This window comes from Homo sapiens, chromosome 4 (assembly GCF_000001405.40).
Source record: "Homo sapiens chromosome 4, GRCh38.p14 Primary Assembly".
Taxonomy (NCBI): Eukaryota; Metazoa; Chordata; class Mammalia; order Primates; family Hominidae; genus Homo; species Homo sapiens.
Window position 1 is genome coordinate 19341032 of NC_000004.12, and position 21770 is coordinate 19362801.

The 21770-nt window shown below is 34.6% G+C and overlaps 1 long non-coding RNA gene across 1 annotated transcript in view, besides 1 other annotated feature; it reads right to left on the reverse strand.

The window, feature by feature from the left end:
* The window catches only part of LINC02438 (long intergenic non-protein coding RNA 2438), a 238399-nt gene that overhangs the window by 122440 nt on the left and 94189 nt on the right, over positions 1 to 21770 (reverse strand). The gene's annotated exons all lie outside the window — the stretch shown is intronic.
* Positions 10582 to 10751: an enhancer, noted in NCBI's record as "experimental_77337 CRE fragment used in MPRA reporter constructs". NCBI's record gives its function as "activates a minimal promoter by MPRAs in K562 erythroleukemia cells, with activity observed for the non-introgressed 4:19353321 variant allele {active_cell/tissue: K562}" and the evidence as "EXISTENCE:reporter gene assay evidence [ECO:0000049][PMID:34662402]".

The following is a 21770-nucleotide window of genomic DNA, read 5'->3' on the forward strand; positions in this document are numbered from 1 at the left end:
CATCTGGAGTCCTTATCAGCTTTCCCTCAGCAAGAATTTTTTTCTATTCTCTCATTGACGATTTGATCTTTTCTCTGCCTGCCTCAAACCTCTGCCCTCCTTTGTCAATTGTCTATTGATTACACTAACTTATACTACATAGAGTTACATTCTCACCCCACATAGGACCAATTGCATTTCCACACAGATTCAAAATATAGTCTTTCTTCTCTATTCCTACTTTCTCCACTACACTGTAATGGAAAGCTTAATGCATCCTGCCAATGACCACATCTTACACTTATAACCTAGATCCCATCTCCAACTGTCTTCTGAGCCCTTCCCATCCCTCTTTTTTGCCCTTCCCATCCCTCTTTTTTCCACTTCTACCTCACTTTTGTATCCTTCAAAAAAGTGTATTGAAAGTGTTAATTCTCTGACTTGACTTTCTCACATTCCAATCTCTTTCACCCATTCTAATCTTGTTCCCTTCTCTGCTAAATCTTGCTGTGTTCACAAGTGACCTAGTTGCTGAATCAAATCCATACTTTTTAGTCCTCATTCTTCATTAATTGTGTATTGCATATTTCAGTTGCCTATTTAGTACTCTTATTACTTTCTTCCTTCCTAACAGGATTCTAGTTAATCTGGGCAAATAACCCATCGCCACCTAGCCAGGTGCCTTAGGAGATGTCAATCCTACACTCAGCAGCATTGGAATTAGTCAATTAGCATGATACCCCTTCTATGGCACATGCAGAAATGAGCAAGTGTCCCAATTGTAGTGAACAGAACATAAGGAGATGTTAGTAGGTTTAAAAAGATATATATTTTTTCAAGGGATGCATACTCATATAACTCTATTTTCCACTGTCAAGAGGGGCAGCAAACTTAAGAAAATTTATACTGTGGATGGCAAAGAAAAGAGCCATAATAATTATGCTCCTTTATATCCTTGTTGAGATGCTACATTAATAAACCCTAGCATGTTGATATCCTTTGAAAGTGTGTCCCCACCCATATATCATATTGAAATGTAATCCCCAATGTTGGAGGTGGGGCTTATTGGAAGGTGACTGGAGCAAGGGGATGGTTTATCATGAATGGTTTAGCGTCATTCCCCTTGGTACTGTCCTTGTGATAATGAGGGAGCTTGTGAGACCTGGTCATTTAAAAGTATGAGGCATCTCCTCCCTCGCTCTCTTGCTTCTGCTCTGGCCATGCGATGTGCCTCCTTCCTGTTCACCTTCTGCCATGATTGTAAGTTTCATGAGGCCTCCCCAGAAGCTAAGCAGATGCCAGCATCATGCTTCCTGTAGAGCTTGTAAAATGGAACTATAGGCCAATTAAACCCCTTTTCTTTATAAATTACCCAGTCTCAAGTATTTCTTTATAGCAACATAAGAATGCAGAAATATATGTGTGATCCAGTGTAAGTTCTTGTTGTTTATGACAATCTTAATGCATCCAAAATCTCCTTCTCAGCAGCATTTGAGAACATCTCTATGACAGTTCCCCGATATTCTCCTATCTCTTTAGCTACTTCTCCACATTCTGCTTTGTGTAATCCCACTCCTCTTTGTGACCCCAAATTTGTGTGGTCCTGAGGCCTCATCTCCCACTCTTCAATAGGACTGGTCTACTGTCATTTGCTTAAATTGGATAAGGTTTGTCTTCCTTAAGTTCCCTACACATGCTGATATTTTGCCACAATGTTTCTTTCACAGTCTGTCTGTCTGCATAGATTCTATTCATTCTTCATGGCATATCTTAAATATCATTTCCTCTGAACAGCTTTTATTTTACCCCCTAGTCTATTTCAGCCCTGCTATAATTCCTCATTGTTTCCTCTGCTTTTTTAAATTAGCACCTGACACAATTTATTTTTTAATATCTGGATAACATCAGTAACAACACTTTTTGGAATTGAAGAAAAATAAAAATTACAAAATATTACAGATAAATATAGATATAAATATTGGACGGCATAATGCTAAACAAAATATATATTGAAATAAACATCATCTATATAGTCTTATATTGAAGAATAAAGAGGTGGTTCGATATCATGAAGTTAATAATATCCATAGTGTGTGAAGAAATGATAATATTCCTTGAATCTAATTAGCCATATATGACTTCAGTACCATTTCTCATCAAAGAAAAGTAAATCCTATTCATGTAGTCTTTCTAAATTAATTTTTAGGTTTAATGCAATTCTTACTAACATGTCAACTATGTTTTAAAAATGTTTTTAAAGGAAATTTCTGTAATTTTTTTCCTAAAAATGTTATTTTTAAATAATGGTCCTGAAATAATTGTCCAAAATGATGTTCTAAAGTATGTCTAATAGAGTACATAATCTAGAATATCCAGAACAATTTTGAAAATAAAGTACAATTAAGCAATTTTCAGTCATTATTAAAAGGCATTATAAAATTAAGATTATTAAAATTAGTAAGCAAGGAGACGAGATAATTGACAGACAGATCAACAGAACTGTTTGAAGACTCAAGAAGTAGACAAAAGGTATTTATATGTATAGGAATATATATCTATTCATATATACACACACATATATAAACATATGCATATCATCTTAGAAAAATTATTTTGTAAAAATCATGTAGCAATGTTTTAAGTTAATGTTGTATCATAGAGTAAAATATATATTAAGGAGATTCAATATCTTATTGTAACATAAAAATAAATATTATTAATATACAATAAATTATAGTTGACTGTTTTAGAAATAATGTAATATTACCAAAGGTTGAAATTTAAAATGAAGTCATTGAGAATACTACAATTATACTGAAAGAGAACACCATGAAGTAAAGTAAAACAAATGGCAAATAGAGAAAATATTTAAAATATATATGTAAAAGACATAACATAGTAAAATGTTATTTCAAACTAGGAACAAAAAGACAACATTCATGCACCAGCCTAGTTTTCTCCTACATTCCCAGTTGTGTGTTGTCAATCCTCTCAGCTAGCCTTCTATTCATTCTACATTGATAATTAAAGAGTTGTATTACATCATAATGTTAAAAGCACAAATTCTCAGGTCCAACAGACCTGAATTCCACTTGTACTGCCATTCTTTATAGCTTTCTGAATTTGGGTAGACTACTTGGCATCAATGATCCCACATTTGTAATGTAGGTAAGAAGCACATATTTTGTAGGATTTTTGTGAAGAACAGAAGATCTATTCTCGAGTAAAGCACTGTGAGTTTTATTCTAGTTCCTAGTACATAGTAAGAGCAATATTTTAGTACACACATAAATAAAAAAATTAAAACACAGCATTAGTATAAAAATGGAAATTCTATGTTTTAAATTTTTACAGGATTATTGAACATTAGCTAAATTTAGTAAGACATAATGGAAGCATAAAACCCAATAAGAAATAAACAAATAAGCCAAAATTAATACCAAATAGATCTGATATGATGATAAATGTAAATGTGTTAAACTTTCCAATACAAAATTATCAGAGAGTATGTGAAATCATTAACATGGCTACTTATTGTCTACAGGGATAACATGAAAGATGTGCCCTGTGTATTGTTTATTATCAAAATTAGAATTTAAAAATATGTATATGTGAAAGGAGCTCATTTGGAAATGAATGAAGTGCTACGTGGAACCTCACTCTAATTTTCAGTCATGATGGTAGATGGTTTAAAATTACGGACATTGGGCCAGGCAGGAGCTCATGCCTGTTAATTCCAGCACTTTGGGAGGCCGAGGTGGGCGGATCACGAAGTCAGGAGATCGAGACCATCCTGGCTAACATGGTGAAACTCCGTTTCTACTAAAAACACAAAAAATTTGCCAGGCGTGGTGGCAGGTGCCTGTAGTCCCAGCTACTCGGGAGGCTGAGGCAGGAGAATGGTGTGAACCCGGGAGGCGGAGCTTGCAGTAAGCCAAGATTGCACCATTGCACTCCAGCCTGGGAGACAGAGCGAGACTCCATCTCAAAAAAAAAAAAAAATATGGACATGAAATTGCCAGATCAATTTGACAATGCCAAAAATTAACAAAAATTATATTGCCTTATTTATTGCATATACTATTTTCCTTTTGAAGAACAAAGCCGCTGGATAACTCATTGATATGGTTTGGCTCTGTGTCCCCACTCAAATCTCACCTTGAATTGTAATCCCCATAATCCTCATGTGTCAAGGGCGGGATCAGATGGAGGTAGCTGAATCATAGGGGTGGATTCCCTCATGCTATTTTTGTGATAATAAGTTTGTCTCATAAGATCTGATGGTTTTATAAGCGCTTTGCATCCCCTGCTTGCACTCATTCTTTCTCCTGCTGCTCTGTGAAGATGTGCCTTCTGCCATGTTTGTAAGTTTCCTGAGGCCTCCCCAGCCATGCAGAACTGTGAGTCAATTAAGTCCCTTTTCTTTATAAATCTTGGGTATCTCTTCATAGCAGTGTGATAATGGACTAATTCACTCACTATATGGCGAGTCCTAGTAAATTTGTTCTTGACAATTTTCACTTATTTTTAGAAGTTAAGTTTTCAAGAGGTTATGTTTGTCAGGTGAAATGATAAAGGGTTTCCCTCACATTAAAGAAGTTTGAATTAAAAATATGCAAGTGTAGTAACCTAACTGTTTCCTATATCCTTTTGGCCTCCACATAATGAGATTGAACAAGCTATCCCAGTGCTGCAGCAAAGGTTAAAGAACTCAGAGGCAACTATATGAGGGAGAAAAAAACTTTTCATTAGAAGAGAGTTATAGTTAGATCAAAAAGGCTTTGGAAATTCCCTGGGGAAAATGCCTTAATTAGCAAGGTCACACACTCTGGAGTATATTTATTTATTTTCTTTTAGTTATTTTATTGTTTTAATAGCAACCCATATTGGAGACTTTTCAAGACATCCTATTTTCTCTATACTTTCTTTTATTCAATAGCCTCTTCAAATTTTTATGCGATCTTTTAAGTTGATGTGATTTGTCACTGCTCCCTTTTCTTTCTAATAACTTTTTCTCCCAATTCTATATTTATTTGCTCATTCTTTCAAAAATTTATAATGGAGTCAAGACCCCTTACTGTGTCTCTTCTCCGGAAATACACTTTTCTCTAACTGGGTAGAAAATCTACAAAAAACAACATTTTTGTTTCAAGGTTGTTTTTTTTTCTAATTTCTATATAATTTTCTCTAGTCACATAATATTTGTTCTTAATTGTTCAAATAGTTTTATACAGTCCACCTATAGGAACTTTGAATATATTTTAAAATTAATTTTGATTTTCAAGTAAATTATTATTTTCATACTGTCAGACTATAGAAACTTGCTTTATTTCTCTTTTGGGACCCTCACTTTTGGGCAGGTTTACTGAATAAATTAATAACCTAATCTTTGTTATATAAAGTATTCAGTATGTACTAGAGTAAAATAAATCTCTATAACTTTAAAACTTCAATATTTTCTTCTCCATGAAACTTTCAATATGCAAAACTATCTAGACTAAATGTGAAATCATATTTTCCCCCAATAAATGCTCTTTTTTTCATATAAAGGTGGAAAGTCAACATAAAAAGTGTATTAATTCTTTCTTTAAATGCTTTTAGTAAATAGTTCTCTGTCCAAAAATGAGAAAATGTGGAATATTCTAACCCCAGACTAAATCACTCACCAGTTAAGAGTATCTGTTTCTAAATTATTTTAATCATGTTGAAACTGCAAATAAAAATATGTGTGGTATTTTAAAGAATCACAAGCACTTTGAGATTTATGAAATGAGGGCACTTTGGCCATTTTTCCATTCAGCTGTTGCAACCATGAGAGTTATTGATGGATTAACGGTATGTGTAAGTGGCAGCGATATAAGTAGGTGGAAAGTTTCAGAAGTCTGGAATGTGTAAGTTTTACGTCAAGTGACTTTGAAATGTAGAATTCTTGCAGTTCACTTATAGCAACATGAAATAGCTATTCACTTAGGTTCCAATTTTAGCCTCTGTAACTGGTTCACTGAAAAACAATAATACACCAAAATTCTATTGGAGCAATTTTTCTATAGCAACAAGGCTTGCTTTTATTACCTGTGCATTTTGGTTTAGTTTTCAACAGAGTCAGGTAATTCCCAAAGAGGTTTGTATGTTTCCATTAAATTTTTTAAAGTAATGAGTTTTCAGCATATAATTGAAAGATAGAATAGAAGGGTAATTTTGCAGTGGAAGTTTCAGGAACCAATAGACCACATTTGTAATGCATTCCAGCAGACAGGGACTTGCCACATTTGTTCGATAGGATCCAAGCGATTACTTCCATCAGTGGTTAATTAGCAGGGGATACAATTTCAGTATGTTCTGAAATGTAAACTGCTACTTAAATGTTTCACCCATTTTACATCTAATATTCAAAATCATGGCAGCTGGTCAGTGAGGTAGGAATTGGGCCCTCATTGTTCCCTTCCACTCACTATGCTGTGTGGGACTACCTGATAGGAGAAAACAGGTGGCTTTTTGGTCTTTAGTTGCCCAAGCAGATAAAATTACTTAAAAATATTATATTGTTAAAAGGTCCATATAAAAAAGAAATTTATAAGTATTCTAAAAATGGCAAAACCTCCTTGCAATAAAATATGTGTAAGTCACAGCACACAGTATAGAATCTTTGACACACATTGCTCAGAGCTTCATGTAGGAAACTTGAGCAAGTTAATATGTAGCGGAGTGCTGCCTGAGCGGAGGTCATTCTGTGTGAATGACCACATGTTGAAGTATCTACCAAATCACCATGCCATGTTGAAGCAGCCCTCAAATCACTATGCCATCGCTTCTCTGAACTATGATTCTACTAATAAATGAAGGTTTCCTTTGACAGCTTTAGAAAAAGAATTTATTGCTTCAGTAAATCTTATTCTTATTTGGGAAAGCATGGTGGATGTGCTCTAGGATAATACCCATGATCGTCACTTCTTGGTGTTCAAATGCTTGTGTAGTTTCCTTATCCTAAATCTGGACATGGCCTATGGCTTGTCTCTAACCTACAGAACATGGCAAAGGTGAGCTTATGTAGGTAATTAGGCATACATAATCATGCACATAATATTGTAGTGTTTGCCTTCCTGGAGTCTCTCTCTTTTGATGAATGTGACGAAGCAAGTGGACGTTTTGGGAAACTTTATGTGGCAAGAAGCTGTGAGCACCTCTAAAAATTAGAGCAGTATTTGACCGATAGCCCCGAAGAACCTGGAGCCCTCTGTCTTACACATGCAAGAAATGGAATTCTTATAACAATTTGAGTAAACTTGAAAGTGGATCCTTTCCCTAGTTAAGCCTCAGAAGAGACCATATTCCTGGCCAATGTATTGCTATAGCATTGTAGAGGGCACAGCTAAGCTGTGCCAGGACACCTGACTCATAGAAACTGTAAGATAATGAACACCTCATGTTGTTTTAAGCCATTAAATTTGTGTCGATATTGCCACACAGTAATTAATACACGAAGACACAGCTTATACCGGGATATTTACTCTTTGGCACTTATGCCAACACAAAACCCAGAATAGACACAAAGGAGAAACTCAATAGAAGGTGTTTTTTAATTAGTATCATATGGTTTCAACCAACATCACAATGAAATCTATTGGTTTTTAGAAGTCTTCATTTAGAGACTATTTTACTGATCCATTTCTCTAAGTAAAAGGTATAAGGTCACAACATACGTAATAGCCAATGGGCCAAATTTGATATGCAGACATGCTGTGTGTGTGGACTACATGTTTTTTTTTTAATTGATATGTTTAGCCATAAGAAAACAACTTTGCTGTGTTCATGTAAAGTCTAAATATCTGGAATATAATGAAACATCTGGCAACACTGTGTTTATATTCTTTTTGGAAACAAGCAACAGAAGCTGAGAAGTAGCTACTCTCTTAAACCAAGATGCCTATTGTCCAATTCAGCTCAGTCCAAACCACTTCCTGTTGTTTTCCACACTGAGGCCAAATATCAGTAGTCATTTGTTATTCTCCAGCCATTCATTTAATTTAACTATTGGCCCATTTAACAAATTTACATAATTCTTTTACCCCATTCTAATATTTCTAAGTATTAAACTTAAATTATATCACCAACAGGCATCACATATGGACTGTATTTATTTATAGTTATTTCTCTTGGAAATCAGTTACTGAGATAAATCATCTTTGACCTTCATTAAAATAACCATCTTCAAGGGACCCAGGGGCTGATTGTAAGTCAAAAGTGTATCCAGAATTGTGTGGGATGGTGCCAATTTACTACAATCTAGCATCCCCTTTTATTCATTGATGTGTCCTGGTTCAGATGTTGAATTATTCAGTCAGTTGGTTGTGTATTGCCAAAGACAGATCTTGTATAAAATGACCAAAATTCCCCAGTGTCACACAAATAAGTTGGTAAGATTCAGTTGATTCTGAATCTGGATCATCTGGGCAAGATGATATTTCTTAGGCTAGGTCACACATCTGTGGTCAGTAAGAGATTGGCTATGAGGCTCATCTGATGTTGGTTGAACTCAATCAGATGCCCAGGGGCTGGAGGACTACTGGCTGATGTAGGATGGCTTTGGTTGGGATCACTGGAGTGACTCAGTTCTATTCTCTCTGGGCTAACCCAGGAATATTCTCCTGGTTTTGGCAGAGAAGCAAGACTGAGCAAGTTCAATCACACAGTTCCTCTTCAAGTTCCTGCTTTGTCACATGTTAGTATCTCATTGGCCAAAATAAACCTCATGGTAGAGTTCACGGTGAGAACTGGAGATCAATAAAAGTTATTTTGCAAAAGATATGGTTACAGAGTAGTTGCAGAATTGGGACTCTTAATACAATCAATCTGTCACAGATGTTACCCTACGTTTATCAGCTTTTTCAATATTGGAACAGTAATTTTAATTAAAATATTCACATGGAGACCACATGTCTAGATAATTTCATGAAATATTCTGGTTTTATAAAATGTTAGAACTATATAAAGTCAATGGAATAGATTAATCCAGAACGGTTGAAATAAAAATATCACATAGAATTTACTATGCCTTAACTAAATTTACATGTTACGCAGTTTGTTTCCAATGATTATTTCAAATCCAGATTCACTACTTATTAGCTAAAATTTATTAATTCAAAATGATTAAGGAATTTGCCTCTGTCAACATTTTATATTGATCTACTTTTGTGTTATCCATTTACTTCTCATCTTATGTACTGTACCAGGAATGACAATTGTATGATTATGGTGTGTGTATTTGTTTGTGTTTTGTGTCACAAACCTTTTAAAACGTGTAAAATTCTGGAGTCTCATTTAAAACTGCAAAAACAAAGAATAATTTAAAAAGGTCTCATTAACACAAGTTTCCTAAGCAGCTTCAAATTAAAGAATTTCAAATTCAGAAGATTCTGCATATCATATCCAGCCCTTGACAATCCATACAATGCATATTATTATATTTAAAACACCAAGTCTCATAAAAGAAATAAAACTTAAATTTTATTAAAATTGCTATTTTACTACTTTATTTGCCTAAATAATCACTTTCATAATGAACTTATATATAGCCTGAAAATTTTGCATTTTGTAGGATATGTGGTCAAAAATGTTAACTTTATGGACTCTTTAGAAATTGCATTGATACATGTGGTTCTCTCCAGTTCCCTGCTAAATACCTATGTATGGTTTCTGTATTCTATAGTTTAATATTTATATGGCCCTAAAATTTAGTGGCATTCAAAATCTCACACACATTCATGCATTCTATTGCTCTCTCTCTCTCTTTCTATGTTTCCCCATTGTATCTGATTTCCAACTCAAAAACATTCTGTACTTTTTTCTTAATGTCTTTTATTTTTATTACTTTTATTGTTTCTGCTGTTTGATTTAGCTGCTGTATTCATGGTAAATTATGATTGTAGATAGAAATGTTGACATTTTTATTTTGCTAATTAAAAGATTAATTTATGTTCTGCTGATAATTGGCCATCTCATCTCTGCACAAAGACTGAATTGTTTTTGGTGGCACTAAGCATTGGTTTCTTATATAAATGCCAGTTCTACAGTGGAAATATAAGCACCCTGATAAAGCACAGTATAATTGCTACTTTTCCCCTCTATCATAATTTGGACTCCAGATAATCAACAAATAATTTTTTTTCTCAAATCCTCATTTGACAGAAGAGGAAACTGAGGCTTGCGTGGGTGAAGCAATCTGCCTAAGATAATGTAATGAATAAGTGACAGCTTAGATTGAAACCCAATTAATTCCAATTAACTAAATAAATACATGAGATTGTGAATAAAACATGAGATTGTCAATATGGTGAGAGAGGTCAACCATAGTATGTAGGAATGGAGAGTAGAGTGAAAAAATATTCAAAGAGAGTAGTGTAAGTTTGAGGACTCAAGTTAGAAAATGTATCTACTCTTAACATATGCATCACTATTCTTTAAAAATTGATTAATTTTTTAATAAAGTAATTTATGTAGCAATGCTAAATATATACTTGAAAGACTAAAATGCTATAAATGGTTTCATTATGAAATCAAGAGCTTTGTGTTTCAAAATCACAATCGATACAACTCAAATACATCAATGCTATGTATATAATTAGACATTTATTAAAAGCAAGACACTGTCACATACTGTAAGGTATACAGTTTTTAAGACATGATCATTGGTTTCAAAAGGTGTATCATCAAAGAGGGAAAGAAAATATATGTTCTTTGAAAATTAAAATAAATAGTTGGCAACACCTTTCTCTAGGCAGAGAATGTGCTTAATTTTACATTTATGTGTTTAATTTTCAAATATGTGCAAGCAATTCTGTTGATTGACACGTGACCAAAGCTGCTTTGCTGATGTTGTAATAACATTCATATAATTGTGAAGAAAGGGGTTGTGTCAATCCTCTTGTAGCACCAGGGCTTAGGGCAACAAAAATACTTATTCACTTTGTAGTGGAGAAAGCAAACAGATACCATCTTTTTAATGGTTGAAAGTTAATATTACAAAAGATGGGAAAAATAGACATTGTATTAGTCTTTTCTCACAATACTAATGAAGACATACTCACAACTGGGTAATCTATTAAGGAAAGAGGTTTAATTGACTCACAGTTCCACATGGCTGGGGAGGCCTTACAATCATAGCAGAAGGTGAATAAGAAGTAAAGGCATGCCTTAGATGGCCACAGGCAAGAGAGCGTGTGCAGGGGAACTCCTGTTTGTAAAACCATTGCATCTTGTGAAACTTATTCACTATCACAAGAACAGAACTAGAAAGATCTGCCCACGTGATTCAATTACGTTCCACAGGGTCCCTCCCACAAGTGGGAATTATGGGAGTTACAGTTGAAGATGAGACTTGGGTGTGGACAGAATCAAACCATATCATTTCACCCCAGCCCCTCCCAAATTTAATATCCTCACATTTCAAAACCAATCATGCCTTCCCAGCAGTCTCCCAAAGTCTTAACTCATTTCAGCATTAACTCAAAAGACCACAGTCCAAAGTCTCATCTGAGACAAGTCAAGTCCCTTCCACCTAAGAGCCTGTAAAATCAAAAGCAAGTTAGTTACTTCCTAGATAAAACAGGGGTACAGGCATTGGGTAAATATACCCATTCTAAATAGGATAAATTGGTCAAAATGAAGGGGCTACGGGCCCCATGCAAGTCTGAAATCCAGTGGGGGAGTCAAATCTTAAAGCTCCAAAATGATTTCCTTTGACTGCATGTCTCAATCCAGGTCACACTAATGCAAGAGGTGGGTTAACGTGGTCTTGGGCAGCTCTGCCCCTGTGGCTTTGCAGGATACAGCTCCCCTCCTGGCTGCTTTCATGGGCTAATGTTGAGTGTCTGTGGCTTTTCTAGGTGCACAGTACAAGCTGTCAGTGGATCTACCATTCTGAGGTCTGGAGGATAGGGCCCCTATTTTCACAGCTCTGCTAGGCAATGCCTTAGTGGTGACTGTGTGTGGGGTCTCCAACCCCAAGTTTCCCATCTGTACTGCCCTAGCAGAGGTTGTCCATGAGGGCTCTGCCTCTGCAGCAAATTTTGCCTGGGCATCCAGGCATTTCTACAGATCCTCTGAAATCTAGGCAGAGGTTCCCAAACCTCAATTCTTGACTTCTGCGCACCTGGAGGCTGAACACCACAAGGAAGCTGCCAAGGCTTGGGGCTTGTGCCCTCTGACGCTACAGCCCAGGCTGTACATTGGCCCATTTTTGCCACAGCTGGGATGCAGGGCACTGAGTCCTGAGACTGCACAAAGCTGCAAGGCCCTGGGCCTGGCCCATACAACCATTTTTTCCTTTTAGGTCTCCAGGCCTGTGATTGGAGGGGCTGCCACGAAGACCTCTGATATGCCCTGGAGACATTTTCCCCATTGTCTTGGCTATTAACATTTGGCTCCTCATTACTTATGCAAATTTTGGCAGCCTGTTTGAATTTCTCCTCAGAAAATAGGTTTTCCTTTTCTACTTTTAACAGCGCCCAAGTCACATCTTGAATGCTTTGCTGCTTGGAAATTTCTTCTGCCAGATACCCTAAATCATCTCTCTTAAGTTCAGTTTCACAGATCTCTAATGCAGGCGCAGAATGCTTCCAGTCTCTTTGCTAAAACATAGCAAGAGTCACCTTTATTCTAATTTCCAACAAGTCCCTCATCTAAATCTGAGATGAGCAGCATTTTGTGCAATCCATTCAACAACTGTCTAGGAAGTTCCAAACTTTCCCACATTTTTCTATCTTCTTCTAGCCCTCCAAACTATTCCAACCTCTGCCTGTTACTCAGTTCCAAACTCACTTCCACATTTTTGGGTGTCTTTATGGCAGTGCTCTATTCCTGGTACCAATTTACTGTATTCATTTGTTATCATGCAGCTAATAAAGACATACCCAAGACTGGATAATTTATGAAGGAAAGAGGTTTAATTGACTCACAGTTCCACCTGGCTAGGGAGGCCTCACAATTATGACAGAAGGTGAATGAGAAGCAAAGGCACTTCTTACATGGCCGCAGGCAGGAGAGCCTGTGCAGAGGAACTGCTCTTTATAAGACCATCAGATCTTGTGAGAATTATTCATTATTATGAGAACAGCATGGGAAAGACCCGCCCCCATGATTCAGTTACCTCCCACATAGGAATTATGGGAGCTACCATTCAAGATGATATTTTGGTGGGGACACAGCCAAGCCATATCAGACATCATGTGCCTCCTAATATGATGCTAAGAATGGAACATCACTTCTATGTTCTGTTGTTGTTCTGTGTTCTATGTTGTTTCTGCCAAAAATGGCTAATCTGAATCCATTTAAGGTAAAATAGTTGAAAGACCTACTTGGGAGGGAATTATACAAAATAACTAAACTGTTTTCATTAAAAAAAAATCAAGCTCAAGAAAGGAGGAACTAATCTAAATTCAAGGGAGTGAAAGAGGCATGACCACTAAATGAGCTGTGATGATCCTGGATAGACTTTTGACCAGGAGGTAAAAGGGTAAAAAGGAGGAAGTTTTGTTTATTTGCATATATATATATATATATATATATGTATGTATGGCATTATTTGAACAAGGACAAAATATTAATGGGATCTATGATTTATAAGGTCACTGGCATTGTGTCAATGATAATTTCTAAATTTAATGAGGATACCGTGTTTACAAAGGATGGTATACTTGATCTTAGGAAATGGAAACTGGAGTTATTAGTAGAATGAACATCATGTCACTGACTTACTCTCAAACGCACATGCACAAACACACATATACAGAACTGTAAGTCAATAGTGATAAATGGTGGCAACCTTCTGTGTGTTGAACCTATTTCAAAATAAAAATTAAAAAGTGAAGAAATAATGATTATACACATAAACTCATGAGGTATTTTATCTTTCTAACTACATACTTGTTATAAGATTACATAATATATAGTATATATTTTAATTAAAACATTTTTCCTTTAACACTTCCCACCAAAAGACCTAGAAAAAAATGATTAACCCAATAGCAGTAAGGATTCCTGGTGCCCAGACTATGCTATCGAAATATAATTTTTTTCTTTTTTTCTTTTTTTGAGATGGAGTCTCGCCCTGTTGCCACGATGCAGTGCAGTGGCATGATCTCGGCTCACTGCAACCTCCAGCTCCCTGGTTCAAGCGATACTTCTGCCTCTGCCTCCTGAGTAGCTGGGATTACAGGCACATGCCACCATGCCCCACTAATTTTTGTATTTTTAGTAGAGACAGGGTTTCACCATGTTGGCCAGGATGGTCTTGATCTCCTGACCTCATGATCCACCCACCTTGGCCTCTCAAAGAACTGTGATTACAGGTGTGAGCCACCACGCCAGCCTAAAATATCATTTCTTATTAAAATACTTCATATTTCTTAGCTAAAAGACTGATTTGAAATCTGGATCAGAAAATGCACAATTTAAGCCTGAAATGTATCATTATACCAGAGAGTTTATAAGATAATCAAGGAATGCCTGTATCACATCAAAAGAGTCAACTTAGAGAGGAGTCCCACTAGCAAAAATTGGGACAATTTAAACATTAAAAACAACAATATTTGCACCAGATTGAAACTCGTCAAATGTTTTTAATTCATGAATTAATAGTAATATAATAAATAGTCACTTTTAGAAAATAATTTTAAAAGGCAATTGTTTATATTAAACACTAGAAAATCAAAGGCAAGTTATATAGGCAAATTCAATGAAACAGAGTAGTTTGTTAGAAAAGATCAGTGACATTGACAAACCTCTATCAAGAATTGACAAAGAAAATGTTACTGAAGACACAAATTACAAATGTCAAAAATTAAACACAGGACATCACTAAAGAAACCTGCAGATACCAAAAGGATAGTAAAGAAATGCTTTGAACAACTCTATACACACAAATTTGAAAACGGATGAAATGGACCAATTTCTTGAAAAACTCAAACCACTCCAGTTCGTCCAATATAAAATAGATAACTTGAGTAATGCTATAACTGAAAAAAATTCCTTTTTAGAAACCTCTTTCTCTTGTTTAAAATAATATTCCATGTCCATACGGTTTCACTGTATAATTCTATCAAACGTTCAATGAATGAATACCAATTCTCTTTCAGAAAATAAAAGGGAACATTTTACATTTAATATATAAAGCTGGTGTTACCCTGATAGCAAATCCAGACAAAGACAATATTATCAAAATAAGAAGACTACACCAATATCCCTCTCTAATATAGATGCAAAAATCTTTAACAAATTATCAACATACAGAATTCAGCAATCTTTTAAAAGAATTACATAGCAAGATCAAGTGGAGTTTATTGGAGAAATTTAAAGCTGGTTTAATATTTTAAAAATCAATCAATATATCGAATTATATTTACAGTGTAAACAAGAAGAATCAGATAACTATATCAATCCTTACAGAAAAATCATTTGACAAAATTCAACATTTGTTCTTGTGAAAAACTTTCAGGAAAATAGAAATAGAAGAGAATCCTTCAACTTGATAAAGAACATGCACAAAAACCTGCAGCTAATTTACACTTCATTGTAAAAGGCTGAATGCTTCTCCCATAAGACCGAGCCCAAGGAAGAATGCCTTCTTTCAACATTTTTACCCATCATAATGCTAGAAGTTTTAGCCAGAGCAATAAAGCAAGAAGGAGGTCTACAGATCAGAAAGCAAGAAATGCAACTGGCCCTGTTTGCAGATGACATGACTCTTGATTCTCTACATAGAAAAATCTTTACATATCTACAAAAATAAAACAAAAATCTATTAGAAGTAACATATGAGTTTGACAAAGCCACAGAATACAAGATAAACACATAAAATTAATTATATTTATATATATTATAAATAAACTTGTGGACACCCAAATTAAATATATATTTTTAAAATTCTCTTCACTACGATTTTGTTTTTAAATTCTCTGAACTACAATTCCTCAAAAATACAATATTTAGATGTAAATCTACCAAAATGTGTATAGTACTTGTATGCCAGCAACTACAATATACTGATGAAAAAAATTTAAAAATCCAAATAGATAGAAAGATACATTGTGTTCATGATTAGAAGATTCAATGTAGTAGAGATTTCAGTTCTAGATATAGATATGATTGTTCTAAAATTAATATGAAAAGATAAAGAAACTAGAATAGTTAAACCAATTTGTGAAAGAAAAATGAAGAAAAATAAAGTAATAAAGAATCAGTCCATCTGATTTTAAACTTATGTACCTATGTATCAAAACTGTAATTACTAAAGGAATAGACACATAGAGTAATGGAGCAAAATTAAGAACTCAGTAATATATACCCATACAAATATGCCTAACTGAAATTTGACAAAGGTAAAAAAACAATTCAATGGAAGAATTATCCTTTTTATAAATGATCCTGGGACTAGTGGGAATTTATAAGCCAAAAAAAGAAAAAGAGAAATCTTGACCTAATTCAAAAATGTACTCAAAGCAAATCATGGACTTAAATGTGATATGGAAAATTACAAATCTTTAAACAAAAAACATAGGGGAAAATCCTCAGGATCTAGGGTTAGGCAAACATTTCTTAGCCCATGACCCATAAGAAAATTCCTAAATTAGAATGAATCAACATTAAAAACTTGCTTTGTGTAAGGCTCTTTTAAGGGGATGAAAAGAGGGCTACACTCTGGGAGAAAATATTTGTAAAGCATATATACAAAATATGATGAATATCTAGAATATATAAGGAATTCTTAAAAGTTGAATAATGAAGTAAAAATTCAATTAGAAAATGGGTAAAAGCAAAGAAAAGAGACTTCACTGATGATTATACATAGCTGGAAAATAAGCAAATATGTTCAACATCATCGGTTATGAGGAGAATGCAAATGAAAACCAAAATGAAGTATCAGTACATTACTATTAAAATAACTGAAATAAAAAAGAAATAATGAAATAGCCAAATGTTGGTAAGGATGTAGAGAAACTGTATCATTATAATATTGCTGGTGAAAATATAAAATGGCTCAGACATTCTGAAAAGTGGTTTGGTAGTTTCTTTAAAAATTAGCAGGTGACTACCATATGATGCAATAACTGCACTCCTGGGCATTGATTCCATAGAAATAAAAATGTAATTTCCCACAAAAACGTGTGCACACATGTTCATAGCAGCTTTATTTGTAATAGCTCAAGCTGGAAAATAACACAGGTGTCCTTCAATGAATAAATTATTAAGCAATATCCATACCATAGAATACTACTCAGCAACAAAAGAGGAACAAATTACTCATTCACACAACAAATGGGATGAATCGTCAGAGAATTATGTTGACTCAAAATAGCCAATACAAAAAGATTACTTACTTTATCATTCAATTTATACAATATTTTATAAATAAAAAAATTATAAAACCTATTAGTGGTTGCCAGAAGTTAAAGATAGGGAGGCCTTGGGGCAGGGGCGGGAGTAGGAGGAAAATTGATATGGTTTTAAAAGGGCAATATAGAGGATTCTTGAGGTGATGGAAATGTTCTGTATCTTTATTGTATCAAGGTCAGGATTATGATTGCGGTATTGTAGTTTTGCAAGATGTTACCATTGGGGGAAACTGGATAAGGGGTGCACAGCATATCTCTATTATTTCTTACAACTGCATGTGAATCTATCATTATCATAAAAATAGTTTAATTTAAAAAAAAGAACAGTCAGACAACAAAGGAGTTTTAGAGCAGTGAAGCTACTCTTTATGATACCGTAATGCTGGATATTTGTCATTTTTCATTTGTCCAAATCCAGAGAATGTATAACAGCAAGAGTGATCCTTCATGTGAACTTTGGACTTTGGGTGACAACAATGTGTCTGTGTAGGTTTATCAATTGTAAGGAATGTACCAGTCTGGTGAAGGATGTTGATAATGAAGGAGGCTATGCATGGGTTCAAAGAATTATGTTGGAAACCCCTGTACCTTCTCTCAATTTTATCGTGAATTTAAAACTGCACTAAAAAATATAAAATCCATAAAAAATGTCCAACTACTAAATGAGAAACAAAATTAGAAATTCATAATTATTCAACTTTCAGTGAATGAACAGATATTGTAATTAACATCAACAGCTGCAAAAAGGACAAAAAAAGAGAGACAACAGATACGATATGCCCCCTATAGCCTTCACAATCACCATTTATAGTCACACACCAAAGGGAGCAACTCCAAGTTTAATTAACCCTTGGATTCAGACTGGATTATATGAATATACATGGATATTAGGGGAAATTTGACCAAAAGCGAATTAAGTAAAATCTTTAAAATAAAGATACATTGCAAATTTTAAATTTTGAATGTATTTATGTTGTGTATGCATGTTCCATAAGACTAATGGATTAATTTAACTTTATAAGGTGACTCATTTAAGAAATTATTGAAATACAAATTTGAAGTTATTAAGTTAGAAATAAAAAAAAAAGAAAAGTACTTTTGTTGGTTCTCAAACAGACAACATTTGCTGAGATTTCACTGTGCCCTCAGTAGAGTACTAGGCATGGTGTGGACTGCAGAAAAGTTTAGACCACAGTTCCTGCGCATAAGGATATTACAATCTAGTTGAGAAGACAACAGCATCATTCAAAAGACAGAGTTCATTAATACAAAACAGGAACATATTCAACAATACATTTTATTGTATTGATAGAAAACAATAGGAATTCAGAGGACAACTCCTCACCAGGCACTGTTATTCCTGATCTTGACAAGGAAGCTTTTAAGAAGATGAATATATTAAATAAAGCCTTGAGGGATTGGTAGAAATTGTCTGAAAAGAGACACAAAAGAAAATTCAAGATGAGGTATATGAAGAAAGCCAAGAAAACAGAGATTGGCAGGATGAGTGTAGTTTTTGGAGAGGAAACGAGAAGAGGAAAACAATTAAGCAAAAGATTGATTAAGGAGGAATGAAAAGCCAGACAAGAAGAGTGAGGAAGGGGAGATTATTTGATCAAGGAAATTACTAGATAAATCTGGCTTTGGATAAGTGATGGAGAGATTAGAGCTAGAAAAACAATTAGGAAATGATCAAAAATAAGTCAAGAGGTAGGGAGCTGAGCTAAGCTAAACTAAGACATTGGTGGAGAAAATGGAAAGAAGTTATTCAAATAGAGGAGTTATTTGAAGGAAAGCCAAGAATTTTCAGTGTAATATATCTTCAGAAAAATGTATACATCAAACATTAGCCACAGTTGGGACTACAAAATAACAAAACAAAACAGATAACCAATGACAGTAAGAAAGAAAATGTGTTTAATGCTTCATATATTTCACCACCTAATTCAGTCAACCCAAAGAATCATTTCTTATATTACCTGTATGAGAGTCAATGAAAAAAAGGCCTCATAATGGAAATTTTAAAATAGTTTGATAAATGAAAGATTTGAATCATATAAAAATAGAAAATTCAAAGTTCTAGTTTCTGGTTTAGTGGAATTACTTGCAGTTTACAGTCTAGCCCCTTGAGCTCTCTCGTGTCTTAAATACCTCGCAACAACTATTCCTAGAGCAGGGTTTTATTAGCGTCTACTGCAGTGTATTCTCACTACAGGATTCAGGATAAAGGAAGGGGCTCTAGCTGGAACATGCTGTTCTTGTGACAAATGAAAAAAAGGAAGAGAACCAGTAAAAACGTGTTATGGATATATGTCATTTTCAATAATAGTCCATTGACCAAATCAACTCACATGACCAGAGCTGCCAATGATCCAAAGAAACATATTGCTCCCTAGGAAGGCACTGCAAATCACACAGCACTGGGCAGCAAGTAATGAGGTTCTATTAAACAAAATGGAGCATAAAACTGGGAACAATAATATATATCCACAATATCTTTTTAAGTAACAATGGTTTTTCCTGTCTCCTTCCCATTTTCCTTTCCCCTTTCTGCTACTTTTCTATGGCTTTCTTATTTGACAGTGGAGTAGAATGAAAAAAATCATGTTTCAATGTTGTTCAAATATCAGTGATGTAAAATACAATTTTACAGAAAAGTTATAACTGAAATTCTGCTATTGATTGAATTACTTGTATTATAAACTATTGAAATATTTATAATATGAAATCAATATAATTTTCTTGTGCTTTTATTTGTTTTACAGCCATGAAAAAGGAAAAATATATATACATTAAATACAGATATATCTCATTTTATTTAACTTTGCTTTACTGCACTTCACAGATAATGTCATCCTTACAAATTGAAGCTTTGTGGCAGCCTTGCATGGAGCAAGATTTCCAACAGCATGTGCTTATTTTTGTGTTTCTGTGTCACATTTTTGTAATGCGCACAGTATTTCAAACTTTATTGTTCTTATTAATATTATATTTGGTATGATGATCATAAAGAGTGATCTTTGATGCTACTATTTTAATTATTTTGAGGCATCATGAATCAAACCCACATAATATGGCAAACTTAACGGTTAATATGTGTGTTCCAACTAGTCCACTTCCACTGATCAACCATTCCATATCTCTTTCTTTATCCTCAGACCTCTCTGTTCCTAGAATCACAACAATACTGAAATTAGGCCAATTAATAGGTCTGCAATGACCTCTGTGTGTTCAAGTGAAAGAAAGAGTCTCAGATCTGTAACTTTAAATCAAAAGCTAAAAATGATTAAGCTTAGTCAGGAAGGCATGTTGAAAACTCAGATAAGTCAAAAGCTATGCCTCTTGTGCCAAATAGCACAAGTAGTAAATCCAAAGAAAAAGTTCTTGAAGGAAATTATAAAGTGCTACTCAAGTGAAAACATGAGTGACAAGAAAGTAAAATAGGCTTATTGTTGATATGAAGAAAGTTTGAGTGGTATGGATAAAAGATGAAATCAGCCACAACATTTCTTTAGGCCAAAGCCTAATTCAGAGCAGGGCCATAACTCTCTTCAATGCTATGAAAGCTGAGACAGATGAGGAAGCTACAGAAGAAAAGTTGGAAGGTAGCAGAGATTTGTTCATGAAGTTTAAAAAATAAGCCATCTCCATACCATCAAACTTCAAGTTGAAGAAGCAAGTACTTGTGTAGAAGCTGAAGCAAATCAACCAGAGGATTTAGCTAAGATAATTAATGAAGGTGGATGCACTAAACAACAGATTTTCAATGAAGACACAACAGCCTTCCATTGGGAGAAGAAGCCATCTAGGACATCCATAGCCAGGGAAGATAAGACAATGTCTGGATTCAAAGTTTGAAAGAACAGGCTAACTCTCTTGTTGAGAGCTAATGCACCTGGTCACTTTAATTTAAAGTTAATAATCACTGACCATTCCAAAAGTTCTGGGTCCCTTAAGAACTATGGTAAACATACTCTACCTGTGCCCTACATATGAACAACAAAGCTTTGATGACGACACATCTGTTTAGAGCATGGTTTACTAGATATTTTAAGCCCAGTGTTGAGACCTAGTGCTCAGTAAAAAAAGGAATCCTTTCAAAATATTACTCATTGACAATGTGATGGTCACACAAGAGCACTGATGGAGATGCACAAGGAGACGAATGTTGCTTGCATATCTGCCAACAAAACATCAATTCTGTAGCCTGAGTATCAAGGAGTTATTATGACTTTTAATTTTTATTATCTAGGATATATATTTCATAAGGCTATAGCTGCCACAGATAATGATTCCTCTGATAGATCTTGGGAACATGAATTGAAAACCTATGGAAAGCATTCACCATTTGAAAATACAAATGCCATTAAGAACATTTATGATTCATGGGAGGAGGTCAACGTA